Source organism: Homo sapiens, chromosome 17 (genome assembly GCF_000001405.40).
Source record: "Homo sapiens chromosome 17, GRCh38.p14 Primary Assembly".
Classification (NCBI taxonomy): Eukaryota; Metazoa; Chordata; class Mammalia; order Primates; family Hominidae; genus Homo; species Homo sapiens.
This window is the reverse complement of record NC_000017.11, coordinates 67,086,814-67,101,381: the sequence shown is the minus strand read 5'-3', so window position 1 is coordinate 67,101,381 and position 14,568 is coordinate 67,086,814. Positions and strand designations below refer to the sequence as shown.

Sequence of the window (14,568 nt, the reverse complement as noted above, 5' to 3'; positions counted from 1 at the left end):
TCTATATGTGGGGCATGGAGTGGATGGGGGAGGAGGGTCATTCTGTGGTTTTACTACTAAAAAAAAATTTAAAATAACTTTATGAACTCTTTCCTCCTCCTCTGTCCCACCTCTACACACCCTTCTTGGCTTTTTATTTGAAATACATTAAACTTGTAGCTTAAATTGAGGGAAATTTTATCTTTACAAATACTTCTCATTTAATTTATTTCCTTCTTTCCTCCCTCCCTTTTTCTCTCTTCTTCTATTTTTCCTTTTTTTTTTTTTTTTCTGAGACGGAGTCTCGCTCTGTCACCCAGGCTGCAGTGCAGTGGCGCTATCTGGGCTCACTGCAAGCTCCGCCTCCCGGGTTCATGCCATTCTCCTGCCTCAGCCTCCCGAGTAGCTGGGACTACAGGTACCCACCACTGCGCCCAGCTAATTTTTTAATATTTTTAATATTTTTAGTAGAGACGGGGGTTCACCATGTTAGCCAGGATGGTCTCAATCTCCTGACCTCGTGATCCGCCTGCCTCAGCCTCCCAAAGTGCTGGGATTACAGGTGTGAGCCACCATGCCTGGCCTCTCTCTTCTTTCTTTCTCTCTCTCTCTTATTTTTTGAATGTTCCTCTTCAAAAATCTGTAGCATCTTCATTTAAATCTTGAGTATTTCCAATATTCTTAGAGTGATGTGTTTTGTTTTGTTTTTGTTATTAATGGGACCTTTTTTTTCCATTATACTTTTCAGTCATTTTATCTTCAGGGACAAATTCTCAAAACGATTATGTAGCAATGTTGATACTGGTGCAAAGGAAAGCTTTTGCCATTTAAGATGTGCTTCACTATGGAGTAGTTTGATTAAAAGTGCTCATAAGGAATAAATAGAAAATCCTTTTTGAAGGCATCTTTGTAAAAGTCTCGGAGTTGGCTTGTGAAATGGCTCATTTTTGTGTTGTGATATTGTAATGGCTTTCTGATAAAAATGGAATGCTAGTAAGTCACTTACTTTGATCAGCTTTCAGTAAATCGACATTTACTTACATCATCTTAGAGATGACATACATGTTTCAGTGATGTGTCTGCTTTGAACTATTTCTTGTTCTGTGTGTTGGTTTTTCAACAGAGACACTTTGAGCCATCTATTTTCATTTTTTCTTTCAAACAACTCTTGTTTTAAATTAGTTGATAATTTTAATTTCAACATACTGTTGTCTAATCATCGTGACTCCCCCAATTTCTCTTTTTTAGAGGAAAGTATTGTACAGATGTATCTTGAAGATTATAATCTTGGTTGATTATTGCCTATTCTCACTTTAGGAATAGATGGTGATAGCTTATGACTTGTGTTGTATAACGAGGTAGAAATATTGCTGTCTTCTCTGACATAGCTTCTCAAAGAGATCATTAATGTATGATATCTAATAAACCATCTAATGCATGTAACAGTGATCAGCAAATTAATAAATTAGACCTCTATTCATGCTTAAATTATCAAAGCTAATCATTTAAATGAGATGTTCTATTTTAATTAAAATTTCTGGCACCATCGTTAATGAGACTTAGAATTTCAACTAGTGTATTTAGCTCTTACTTGGTGATTAGCTTTGATGGCATAATTATAAATAGAGCCCTTATTAATTAAGTTGCTGACCTTTCCCCAGTTATCTATTTATATACACACAGGTGAAATGGCTTGATAACGTCATATATTAGAGGTATATCTTATAAGACAGTGGTAAGCAAATTAGGAGTTTTTACTCAAACTAAAACTATCTTTAACAGTAAAAATTTATACATGAGTTTTGTAGTTTAGTTTTTTCCTTCTTTCTTAGATTTCCTGTATTAAATGGCTTTTGAAATGTTAGCATTACATTTTAATATTTGGAAAGAAATATTAGCAGAATTTGAAAATCGTGATTATATGTGTAGTACCATAATCTCACAGTAAAACATGAAGCATATTTATAAACACACAATCATATATGGAGTTGATACTGAACTTCACAGAATCTCTTTAAGAATCTCTCTGGCAGGGTAAATGAGCCTTTAAACAACATTAATGAAATTATTTAAGACCTGAGGACTCTAAAATTAAACCTGAGCATCAGTCATTGGTAGGGTTGCCATCCGAAAATAAAGGAACAATCTGATTGGCTGAAGATGTATGTAGAAGGAATACTCACTTCCCGAAACAGAACTGGGCGAAAGCAATAGGAAACAAAGTCAAGAAATAAGAAAAGAAAATAAAAGATAAGAATAGAAACAAGAATAAATAAGAAATGAGAACAGAAAGGAAGGAAAGTATGTTTAAACAGCCTAGGGGCCCACAAAGCTACAGTGTTGATAGAGATGTAAAGGGATTTCTCTGTCAGAAATATTTTTCTTTTGTAGGCTACAGATGTTTTTCTAAAATTTTGGTTTGGGGGCCTTTACTGTATAGGAAGTACCCTCTGGCAGAGGAAAAAAGGACATTTTAAACTTGTTGCCCAGAATCCATTTCATTGCAGTCAGTTAGCATGTCCTATAGTTTTCTGGATTTAAATCACATAAATAGGCTTGGATTTGTCATCACACTTGGAATATTTTAGCGAGTCTATCAAATTGTTGATGGTTGTTAAAGATGATAGATGTTGTTTGGACATTTTTATTTTTACTTTTTGAGATGGAGTCTCGCTCTGTCACCCAGGCCGGAGTGCAGTGGTGCAGTCTCGGCTCACTGCAACCTCCGCCTGCCAGGTTCAAGCAATTCTCCTGTGTCAGCCTCCCAAGTAGCTGGGATTACAGGCACCCACCACCATGCCCAGCTAATTTTTCTTTTTTTTTTTTTTTTAGTAGAGACGGGATTTCACCACGTTGGCCAGGCTGGTCTCAAACTCCTGACCTGAGGTGATCCGCCCACCTTGGCTTCCCAAAGGGCTGGGATTACAGGCGTGAGCCACCACGCCTGGCTTTGTTTGGACATTTTTAATTAAAAGTTAAAATATATTCTTATTGAAAAAGACTTTGATTTATCAAAGACTTTAAATCTTGTAACTTTGGAACTAGTCAGGCCTTAAAGATCATTTAACTCCCCCCTTTTAAAAGGAAACCGAGGCACAAAGATATTAAAGGACTTGTAACTTAAGCAGTTATTAACTCAAGGGAGTGGAGACTCCTGACAGTCCCATGCTGTTTCTGAAGCATCACACTGCTCTTCAGATCTCTATTCCATGAGTAAGGTTTATTCTTAGAAAATGAGAAATGATTGCAATTACACAGAACTAGATGTGGGGGAAAAGCAAAATTATGTTCTTGTGAAGAATTCAATCTTCAGTTGTGTAAAATTTGCCTTTTATTTTTTCTGGGTGGTGGGGAGAAAGGGAGCTAGTTCATTTTAGAATTCTTGATTTCTTGAATTGTATCCAGTTGTAGCTGCTAAATGTTTGACTGCTCAAATGATTAATTTAGAGATCTCAAATATCAGAAATGTACTTAATTTCTCCACATTCTTTAAGAATAAAACACATTCTCCAGCATTACATTTTTTCCAAAAGCTGGAAAATTTATTTAGTTTTAATAATTATGAATCTTCAGAGAAAATTCAAATAGTTGTGGGTCAAAGAGTAAACTTTTACTGCAAACTATTTTATTTCCTATCCACCCCAACATTTGCTCATTGTAAGAGCTGTTGTGCTCTATAATTGTTAATTCACTGTTTCATATTCAAGAACAGTAAACAAGAGTCAGATAGATTCAAGGTAGCTCCAAATGTCACAGCAGTGAACCTGACGTTTTTCTCTGAGATGTAATATTGTATTCGTTCTGGTATCCCTTCTATGACCTTGTATATGGATGTATAGGAAAATAATATTGCTTGGTAGGAAAATACTATTTGTAAATTATAAGTGCCCTTGCCTCTGAGATGCTTCAAATGGCATTTTTTAAAATTTAGACCCAAATTGATTTTGATGCACTGTGTTGCAAAGTCACATTTATTTCAGTATATGGGCATGCCTTGTTTTATTGTACTTTGCTTTATTGCATTTCACAGATATTATAGTTTTTACAAATTGAAGGTTTATGGTAACCCCATGTTGAGCAAGTCTATAAGCGCCATTTTTCTGACAGCACGTGCTCACTTTGTGCCTCTGTATCACATTTTGACAATTCTCACAGTATTTTAAACTTTTTCATTATTTCTTTATCTGTTGTGATCAATAATCTTTGATGTTGCTATTGTGATTGTTTTTGAGCAATCAGTGTTATGTGTATTCTGACTGCTCCATTGACTTGCTGTTCCCCCATCACTTAGTCTCCTTGGGTCTCCCTATTCCCTGAGACACAACAGTATTGAAATCAGGCCAGTTAACAATGCTACCATGGCCTCTATTTAAGTAAAAGGACAAGTTGCATGCCTCTCACTTTAAATCAAAAACTAGAAATGGTTAAGCTTAGTGAAAATGGCATGTCAAAAGCTAAGACTGGCCAAAAACTAGGCCTCTTATAACAGTTAGCCAAGCTGGGAATGCAAAGGAAAAGTTCTTGAAGGAAATTAAAAGTGCTACTTCAGTGAATATACAGATGATAAGAATGTAATGAAACAGCCTTATGGCTGATGTGGAGAAAGTTTGAGTGATGTGGAGAAAGTTTGAGTGATCTGGTTAGAAGATCAAACCAGCCACAACATTCCCTTAAGCCAAAGCGTAATCCAGAGCAAGACCCTCACTCTCTTCAATTCTGTGAAGGCTGGAGATAGATGAAGAAGCTGGAGAAGAAAAGTTGGAAGCTAGCAGAGGTTGGTTCATGAGGTTTAAGGAAAGAAGCCATCCCCATAACATAAAAGTGCAAGGTGAAACAGCAAGTGCTAATATAGAAGCTGCAGCAAGTTACCCAGAAGATCTAGCTAAGATCATTGATGAAGATGGCTACACCAAACTACAGATTTTCTGTGTAGACAAAACAGCCTCTTATTGGAAGAAGATGCTGTCTAGGACTTTCTCAGGTAGAGAGGAAGAAGTCAATACCTGGCTTCAAAGCTTCGAGGAACAGGCTGACTGTCTTGTTAGGAACTAATGCAGCTGGTGAACTTTAAGTTGAAACCAGTGCTTGTTTACCATTCCAAAAATCCTAAGGCTTTGAAGAATGATGCTGAATCCATGCTGCCTGTGCTCTATAAATGGAACAATAAAGCCTGGATGACAGCATATCCATTTACAGCATGGTTTAACCCATGTTTTAAACCCACTATTGAGACCTACTGCTTTGCTGGTGGGCGGGGGAGGGGGGGTGGGATTTTTTAAAAAGATTCCTTTCAAAATATTACTGCTCATTGACAATGCAGTTGGTCATCCAAGAACTCTGATGGAGCTGTGCAAGGACATGAATGTTGTTTTCATGCCTGCTAACACATCCATTCTGCAGCCCATGGATCAATGAGTCATTCTGACTTTCAAGTCTTATTTAAGAAATACATTTTGTAAGGCTATAGCTGCCACAGACAGTGATTCCTCTGATGGATCTGGACAAAGTAAATTAAAAACCTTCTGGAAAGGATTCACCATTCTAGATGCCATTAATGATTCTCTGGCTAAAAAATTTAAGAACAAAAAATATATACTGTATTGCTAAAAAACGCTTTCTTGTTGTGATTGTTGGGAAGAGGTCAAAATATCAATATGAACGGGAGTTTGGAAGAAGTTGATTCCATCACCATGGATGCCTTTGAGGGGTTCAAGAAGTCAGTGGAGGAAGTAACTTGCAGATGTGGTGGAAATAGCAAGAGAACTAGAATTAGAAGTGGAGCCTGATATGACTAACTTGCTGTAATCTTATGATTGAACTTGGGTAGATGAGGAATTTCTTCCCTTTTGTTTTGAAGAGAAGGGTCTTGCTTCGTCACCCAGGTTGGAGTGCAGTGGTGCAATCATGACTCACTGCAGCCTTGACCTCCTGGACCCTGGCAATCCTCCCACCTCAGCCTCCTCAGTATCTGGGGCTACAGGCACATACCACCATGCCTGGCTAATTTTTTTGTTTTGTTTTGTTTTTGGTGTTTGTTTGTTTGTATCTCACTATGTTACCCAGGCTGGACTTGAACTCCTGGCCTCAAGTGATCCTCCCACCTTGGCCTCCCAAAGTTTTGGGATTACAGGCGTGAACCACTGAGCCCAGTGAGAAATTTCTTGTTATGGGTGAACAAAGAAAGTGTTTTTTTGTGATGGAATCTACTCCTGGGAAGATGCTGTGAACATTGTTGAAATGACAACAAAGGAGTTCAAAGGATTTAGAATATTCCATAAATTTAGTTGATAAAATACTGGAAGGGCTTAAGAAGATTGACTCCCATTTTGAAAGAAGTTCTGTGAGTAAAATACCATCAAACAACTTTGTGTGCTATAAGGAAATCTTTTGTGAAAAGAAGAGTCAACTGATGCGGCAAACTTTATTATTGTCTTATTTTAAGAAATTGCCACAGCCACCTCAGCCTTCAGCAACCACCACCCTGGTCAGTGAGCATTTTTTAGCAATACAGTATGTATTTTTTGTGATTAAGTTTTTTAGCCAGAGAATCACAAGCAATACATTATTTTAAAATTAAGCCATATACATTTTAAAAAATGTCTTAAAGAGTGTCTCACTATGTTGCACAGGCTGGAATGCAGTGGCTATTCATGGGTGTGATCATAACTCACTTAAGCCTCAAACTCATGGGCTCAAATGATCCTCCCTCTTCAGCCTCCCAAGTAGCTGGGCCTACAGGCATGTGACACCATGCTTGCCTTTATACATTGTGTTTTTTTAAACATACAATGCTATTGCACACTTAATAGATTATAGTATAGTATAAATATAATTTTTATATGCACTGGAAAACCAAAAAATTTACGTGACTCACATTATTGCAGTATTAGCTGTATTGCAGTAGTTTGGAACCAAACCTGCAATATCTCCAAGGTGTGTCTGTATCTCTCTGTCTCTCTCACCAAACCTGCAATATCTCCAAGGTATGTCTGTATCTCTCTCTCTCTCTCTCTCACCAAACCTGCAATATCTCCAAGGTATGCCTGTATCTCTCTCTCTCTCTCTCTCTTTTTTTTTTTTCAAGACCAGGTCTCCCTCTGTCACCCAGGCGCAAGGTGCAGTATATGATCTCAGCTCACTGCAACCTCTGCCTTCCAGGCTCAAGCGATCATCCCACCTCAGCCCCCTAAGTAGCTGGGACTACAGATGCATGCCACCACACCCAGCTAAATTTTGTATTTTTTGGTGGAGATGGGGTTTTCCTGTGTCACCCAGCTGGTCTTGAACTCTTGAACTTAAGCACTCTGCCCACCTCGGCCTCCAAAAGTGCTGGGACTACATGCTGTTTCCAGCTTTTATCTTAGGTTCAGTGGAGTATGCGTGCAGGTTTGTTATATGGGTAAATTACATGTTGCGGGAGTTTGGTCTGTATCTTTTAAGGGAAACAACAAAACCTAGAAATAAATCTACTATAGTTTTGGGAACTAAGATAAATTTTTGCTTCTGTCATTATGATTGAGTTTTATAAGGCTAAAATGACATTAAAATTACTTTAGAAATTGTATGAAAATAATGCAATTTATTTGTTTAGAGTTTTAAAAATAATATAAATAGTGAAGGATGTCATAGTTATCTAGGCAAGAGGTGATTGTGGCTTGGACTGTGGGGTAGCAGTGGAAATGGTAAGAAATAAATTCAGGATCTACTTTGCAGGTAGAACCTAGAGGAATTCTTGATGGATAGGTTATGATTAGGAATGAAATAAGATTTAAAATTGAGTTCCTCAGTCCTAGTAGGCTCATTTTGACTGACCAGGAGCTCCCATGGCAAGGCGCTGCCTTATGGAACAGTACAGACACAGAACATTCCCATCGTCACAGGAAATAGTTTTTGGACAGCATTGCTTTAGAGAAGGACTCATATCCTTCAACTGTGTGAAATTGTCTATTATTATTAATCTTTTTTGATAATTTTCTAGCATTATTTTTCTCCATGTCTCACTTTCTGAAACTTCTTTTGATAAGATGTTGGGCCTCCTAGATTCTCCAAATCTTTATTTCCTGTCATACTTTGATACCTTTGTACTTTTTCTTACTTTCAGGAAGATTTCCTTGATTTTATCTGCAAGAACTATTGCATTTAATATTTGAGCCCTCAGGTTTTAAACTCACAAGAGTTCTTTATTCTGAGCTTTTTCCTTTTTCATAACATCTTGTTTTCTGCAGTGCCTTTTCTGAGAACACCAGTTAGAGGGTTTGTTGTTGTTTTGTTTTTGATTTTTAATAAGAACTAAAACAATGTTCTAAAATATTTTTAAAACATCACTATTGTTTCTTTCCGGGCCTCCCTTTTTTCAACTTGTTCATCTGGGACTATCTTTTATGCTGGAGACCTTCCTTAAAAGTCTGGTAATCCTTGATTATCTTTTTTTTTATGAGACAGAGTTTTGCTCTGTCACCCAGGTGGGAGTGCAGTGGCACAATCTTGGCTCACTGCAACTTCCCCCCCCCGCCGGTTTCAAGCAGTTCTCTTGCCTCAGCCTCTCAAGTAGCTGGGATTACAGTCACCCGCCACCACTCCCGGCTAATTCTTATATTTTTAGTAGAGATGGGGTTTCACCATGTTGGCCAGCCGGTCTCAAACTCCTGACCTCAGGTGATCCACCCACCTCGGCCTCCCAAAGTGCTGGGATTACAGGCGTGAACCACTGCGCCTGGCCGCTTGATTATCTTTCACTAAAAAGCAACTTGGGAGTTTTGTGTATATCACAGGATGTATTGCCTGGCAGGCCTTTCACTGGGGACTTTTTAGTGCTTGAATCCATGTGGAGCCCTTCGTTTTTCCCGGATTTTTGCTTGTCTGTCTCCTTATCTTTTTGTCTGTATTGTAGGTACCTGGCTGGCTGTGTCCCACTGTTGTTGCGGGGAGGAGTATGAGTCCAGCTGTTTCCTGTATAGACTTTCATTTAACCCCCCTAATTTTATCCCTTCATCTTCCTTTCATTTTATATTAGTTGGCAAGCCTCTGTGGAATTCTGCTAGGTGAATCGTTTCCCTTCTTGGGGGGTAGCTATAATTTCATTCTTCTTCCACAGACACCATTCCTCCATCCAGTCTCCATGTATTCTGGAAATGTGTCCTCTATTGATGACGAGGCTCATGGTCTTGATTGTTGTATATCTATAATATTCATTTATTATTATTTTAGTGGAGTCTTGGGCCAGTTGCCACCATTAACTGGGAATCATGCTTTTAAAAAATGATTTTGTAATTTATCAAGTGCTTTTCAATAGATTACATCACATGAACCCATAGATATGAACCCACAGATATTACTGTTGTAAACTACAGTTTATTCATCACACGTTATCTGGCTTGTTAATAAATTGATTATTTTTAGTCTTATAGTGATAGTCCTCTCCTTGCTCCATCTAGTTTTTTCTCTCTAGGGAACTGTACTGATCCACCAAACTGTAGCGTATTTGCTTTAAGCAGAAAATGATAATTTGAGGGGGAGCTAAATTGAAATAAGTTAGTAGACCCTAAGTGTTCTATAATCAAGGATTTCTTCCTCAAATCTTGGGGAAATTAAATAGATTAGTTTTAAGTAAATGAAGAAAAAAAATGCAGCTTATTAAATCTGATATTATAAGAGTGTCCATGACATGGAAAGATACCTATGATATTTCAGTGAAAAATTACCAGGCAGTATGTAATGTCTCATTTTAAATTATATGTTTAAAGATGTACATAATATCCAGTTTTCCCACTTTAGCTATGTTAAGTTGATCAGTATGTTTCAGTGATCAGATGATGTCATTCTGATCTATTGACGTTAAAATTTCTAGCAACCTTTCAGATTTTAGCAGCTGTTGATGGTTGTTGCTTAGATCTATTGTTTCATTAGAATGGCAAAATGATTATTTAAAACTTCTTTGAATTTCTTTTGTATTTATTTTTCTTTTATAAAGGAGAACTTTTCCTCATTGAATATTTAATTACTACCTAAAATATAGTCTATGTAGAAAGGGAAGGATAAATGTTTAATCCTTGCCCTTTATTAGTCAATTTTCAGAGTAATGAATTGAGGCCTTAGCAGGCCTCAGGATGACCATTGAGGCTTTTTTCCCCTTCTTTTTTCACTTTGAATATTATTATTTGATATCATTATGTATTTGAATTTTTACTTTATTGTAGTCCTTATACATTTTCACACCTTGTCCCCTATCTTTGACCAATGGAAGGTTCTTCATTAGAAATATTAGAAATGTTTTACATTGAGTGAAAATGGAAATATAGCCTGTCCTAATTTGTGTAATGCAGCTCAAGCCATGTCAGAGGGAAATTTATAGCTTATATTAGAATTTAAATTTATAGCTTGTATTAGAATTTAATAAAAGCTTTATTAGAAAAGAAGTAAGATCTCAGATCAATAATCAAAACTTATACCCCAAGAAATTAGAAAAGGAAGAGCAAAATAAATTCAAATCAAGCAGAGGGAAGGGAATTTCAAAGATGAGAACAGAATTCAATACAATTCAAAACAGAAAAGCAATAAAGGAAAATCAATAAAACCCAGTTAGTTGTTCGGAAAGATTAGTAAAATTGATAAACCTTTAGCAAGATTGACAAAGACAAAAAGAGGATACAAACTACCTATATTAGGAAGGAGACTGGGTCACTACAGACCCAGTAGACATTGAAAGGATGGTAATAAGGGAGCACTACAAACAACTCTGTGCACATACATTCAGCAACATAGATAAAATGAACCACTTCCTTAAAACCTCACCAAAGATGAAATAGATGGCATATGGACAGTCTTATAACTGTTAAAGAAATTGAATTTGTAATTAAAACCTTCCAAAAAAGACATCTCTAGGCCCAAATGGTTTTAGCATGGAATTCCTCCAAAAATGTGAAGAAGAAAACCACCAACTTACACAATCTTTTCCAGAGAATAGAACACTTCTCAATTTATTGTATATGGCCAGCATTACTCTGATACCAAAACTAGATAAAGGCAATACAAACAGAGAAAATCACAGATCCACTTCCATGAATATCAATGTAAGCATCCTCAGCAAGACATTAGCCATTTGAATTTAGCAATATATGAAAAGAATATACTATGATCATGGGGGGCTTATCTCTAGAATGCAAGGCTGGTGTGGTATTTGAAAATAAATTAATGTAATACACCATTCTAACAATCTAAAGAGAAAAATCACACAATCATATCAATAGACATAGAAACCACATGCATTTGACAAAATGCATGGTCCACTCAGGATGAAACTCTTGGTAAACTAGAAATGGAAAGGAACTTCTTCACCCTGTTAAAGGGCATCTATAACAATTCTGCAGCTACCATCATACTTAATGGTGAGAGATTTAGTGCTTCTAAGATTAGGAATAAGGCAAGACATTTGTTCTCAACATTCCTCTTCAACACTGTGCTGGAAGTCTTAGCCAGTGCAATAAGGCAAGAAAATAAATGGCATTAGGGATTGGGAGGGAAGAAATGAAGCTGTCTCCATTCACAGATGACATGGTTGTCAGTATAGAAAAAGCCCAAGGAATCTCCCAATTCCTTGGGAGATTCCTGTAACTAATGTGAATTTAGCAAGGTCACAAGATACAAGGTCAACACACAAAAATCAATCAATCTCTCTGTCTCTGTCTCTCTCTCTGTCTCTCTGTCTCTCTCTCTCTCTCTCTCTCTCTCTCTCTCTATATATATATATATATATATAAAATCTCCAATAGATCTAATTTTAAAAGCATTAAAAAATTTTCCAGTTTCGGTTTTGCTTTTCTGACATAAAAAATTAATCATATTCATAACATAATTTGAAATTGAATTTCATATTTTATCTACATGTTTATCTCTGTCAATAGCTGTAGATAGGTTATACAATACTTCCCCGGAGCCTGCTGTGCATGTCAACTGAGTGATTATTTTGGATTTCAGTTTGGAAGATACAAATGATATAAATTTTCTGTAAAGTTTAATTGAATATTCTCTCTTATATCAGCCTTCCATTTCTTTCTGAGTTTTCGTTTTCTTCCTTTAAGCTTTCTGGTTCATATGTCTATTCATTGTAAAAAGGTTATCGTTTATACTACTGGTTTGTGTATGTTCGTTATTTAATGAAAAGGGGCTTATAAAGTTAACGCCTGAAATTCATGAGAGTATATTTAGTGTTCTGTATCACCAGGAGACATGGTTATCATAATCTGCTCTTTCTGAGCCCATACCCAACGTTAGTTTTGTACTTTAGTATTCACATATGAAAACTTTAGAATGTAATCCCCTGAAGATTGTGACTAAACACTCGGGATAGTCATAGAAAGAAATACTACATTTCAATTTTAAGAGCTAATTGTCTTCATTACAAACCTTGATTTAAAAAAAAAGACACGCTGCGCAGCCATTGTGATCCAGGGTTGTCAGGCATAGAGCACACAGTGCAGTTTAGAAAGGTTACTTATTCTACTCACTACCGTAATTGAATGCCTTAGACAAAGAAATTTCAATTGTGCTGATTACATTCCTAGTTGACACTAAATTAATTTGGATGGTTAACATTCTAGAAAACCAAATCAAATTCATAATGATTTGACCATTGAAAACAATTGCCTTTAAAGCAGAGTAAAATTAAAGATGAATTGAGATACTGTGCTTAGAAACAGATCTATAAAATTATATGAAAAAAGAAATTAACCAGATGGCAGTACTACCTCTTGCCTTCCTCCATTCAATAGCTAAGACTGTGGAAATGGAGGCACTCAAAACTTAATAGCGAGAGAATTGCTCTCGTCACGGCTTTCCTGCCTCTCCGCACAAGGGCAGCCAGTCCAGACCCATTTTCTTCCCTAGTTTACATCCTAGTGGTTCCATTTACTTTAACTTAATACTCTCAGTGCTTACCCCCACAATTTTCACATTTAATTGGCTTGATAATGTCTGCTTGTGCTATTTTATATTTCCAGAAGCCATCCTGTTATTGTTATGCCAGTTCATCTCTCTGCCTTCTTTTTAATCCAGCCTCCAGTTCCTGATTTCCAATTATTGCTAACAACAGTGGTGAAAGTACAATTTCTGAGAGTCATAACTGACCACAGACTGAACAGCAGATTTATCATTTGCTATCCAAAAAAGAAAAGAGGAAAAAGAAAGGGGCAATGAAACACCAATCCCATTCTGTCATTTGAGACGGAACGTGGAATCTTATCTTTATATATTACATTAAAATAATTATATAGCAATGAACCCTTCCTGTGTGCCAAGAACTGCTGTACATGCTATGCATCCTTATTTAATTCTCCCAACAATCCCAAGATATGGGGACTGTGGGTAATTCATGTTACAAAGAAGTTAAATCAGTTGCCCAAGGTGACACTGCCAATAAAAGTCAGAGCCTGAAGTCTAACCCAGACAGTCTAGCCTTAGATGGAGGCTGATACCTAACCACTGCTCTACACTGCCTTGCCATTAGAATTGACTCTGAATATTGATCACAAGTATCTGGCAAGAACAAATTGAACAGCACTTGGGTAACTATAAAAAAATCTTGACATGGCTGCCACATAGATCTTGTCGGAAGGGTTAAAGGAATTTGGGTTGTGCAAATACAGGGAGTTTAGGGAGGAGAAAATATACTAAGTTAATTGGGTTTCAAACATATAAAATATTTTTTGACTAAATGAATGAGTATGCTGTGTCATTTGACGTTTGACTAAAAGAAATGCAGTGGAGTCCAGTCAAGAGTACTTACGTTGGACAGGAGGAATCACATCTTGCCATCAGGTCTAAAGAAAAATAAATTATGATGTTATGAAGGAAGGGCCCAAGAGATAAGTGTAGAATAGCTGACTCTGCTCAAGAGGGCCATGACTCAACTGCCTATACTTTACCCATTTAATTTTGAGCGGATTTGCTCCTTCGTGCTTTTTCTTAATCTACTATTATCTAAAATGTCAATAGAATTTTAGAACTGAAAACAACTACTTCAATTCCCATATTCTACAGATAAGAAAACAGAATCAGAAATCAGACATATATTGTCAGGACTATGCAGTGAGGAACACAACTGAGTTTTGAGCCCAGGTCTTCTGACACCATGTCCAGAGCCTAGCCTGTACCCTTCCCCGCCCTTTTTCTTTTTGGTGGGAGTAGGGTGGAGGGAGGGTTTCACAGTCACAGTATATTCTTGACAATTTTTACTTTATATAGTGAGATATTGCTATGGAGTGAAAAGAGAGAGGACTATGGCACAAGGTGCACTGATTTATGAAATGTTCTTTTTCTTTGTGTAGTATGAGCCCAGAGGACCTGGTCGGCCCTTGTACCAAAGAAGAATCTCATCTAGCTCAGTTCAACCTTGTTCTGAAGAAGTAAGCACTCCTCAAGACAGTCTGGCTCAGTGTAAAGAGCTTCAGGACCACAGTAACCAATCTTCTTTCAACTTTTCATCCCCGGAGTCCTGGGTAAACACCACCTCATCTACTCCTTATCAGAACATTCCGTGCAATGGATCCAGCAGGACAGCTCAGCCCAGAGAGTTGATAGGTAAGACAGAGTTGG

At 37.1% G+C, this 14,568-nt stretch overlaps 1 protein-coding gene across 9 annotated transcripts in view, besides 1 other annotated feature; it reads left to right on the top strand.

Annotated features, from left to right (window-relative positions):
• The window catches only part of HELZ (helicase with zinc finger), a 175,546-nt gene that overhangs the window by 144,608 nt on the left and 16,370 nt on the right, over nucleotides 1-14,568 (top strand). For all 9 annotated transcript variants that reach the window (XM_047437225.1, XM_047437224.1, XM_011525544.2 and 6 more), the window contains one exon: nucleotides 14,301-14,553. In XM_047437225.1, coding sequence (XP_047293181.1) covers nucleotides 14,301-14,553 — 253 coding nt within the window. The remainder of the gene's footprint in view (nucleotides 1-14,300; nucleotides 14,554-14,568) is intronic.
• Nucleotides 13,742-13,942: a silencer, noted in NCBI's record as "peak2950 fragment used in MPRA reporter construct". NCBI's record gives its function as "represses an SCP1 promoter by STARR-seq MPRAs in K562 erythroleukemia cells {active_cell/tissue: K562}" and the evidence as "EXISTENCE:reporter gene assay evidence [ECO:0000049][PMID:32103011]".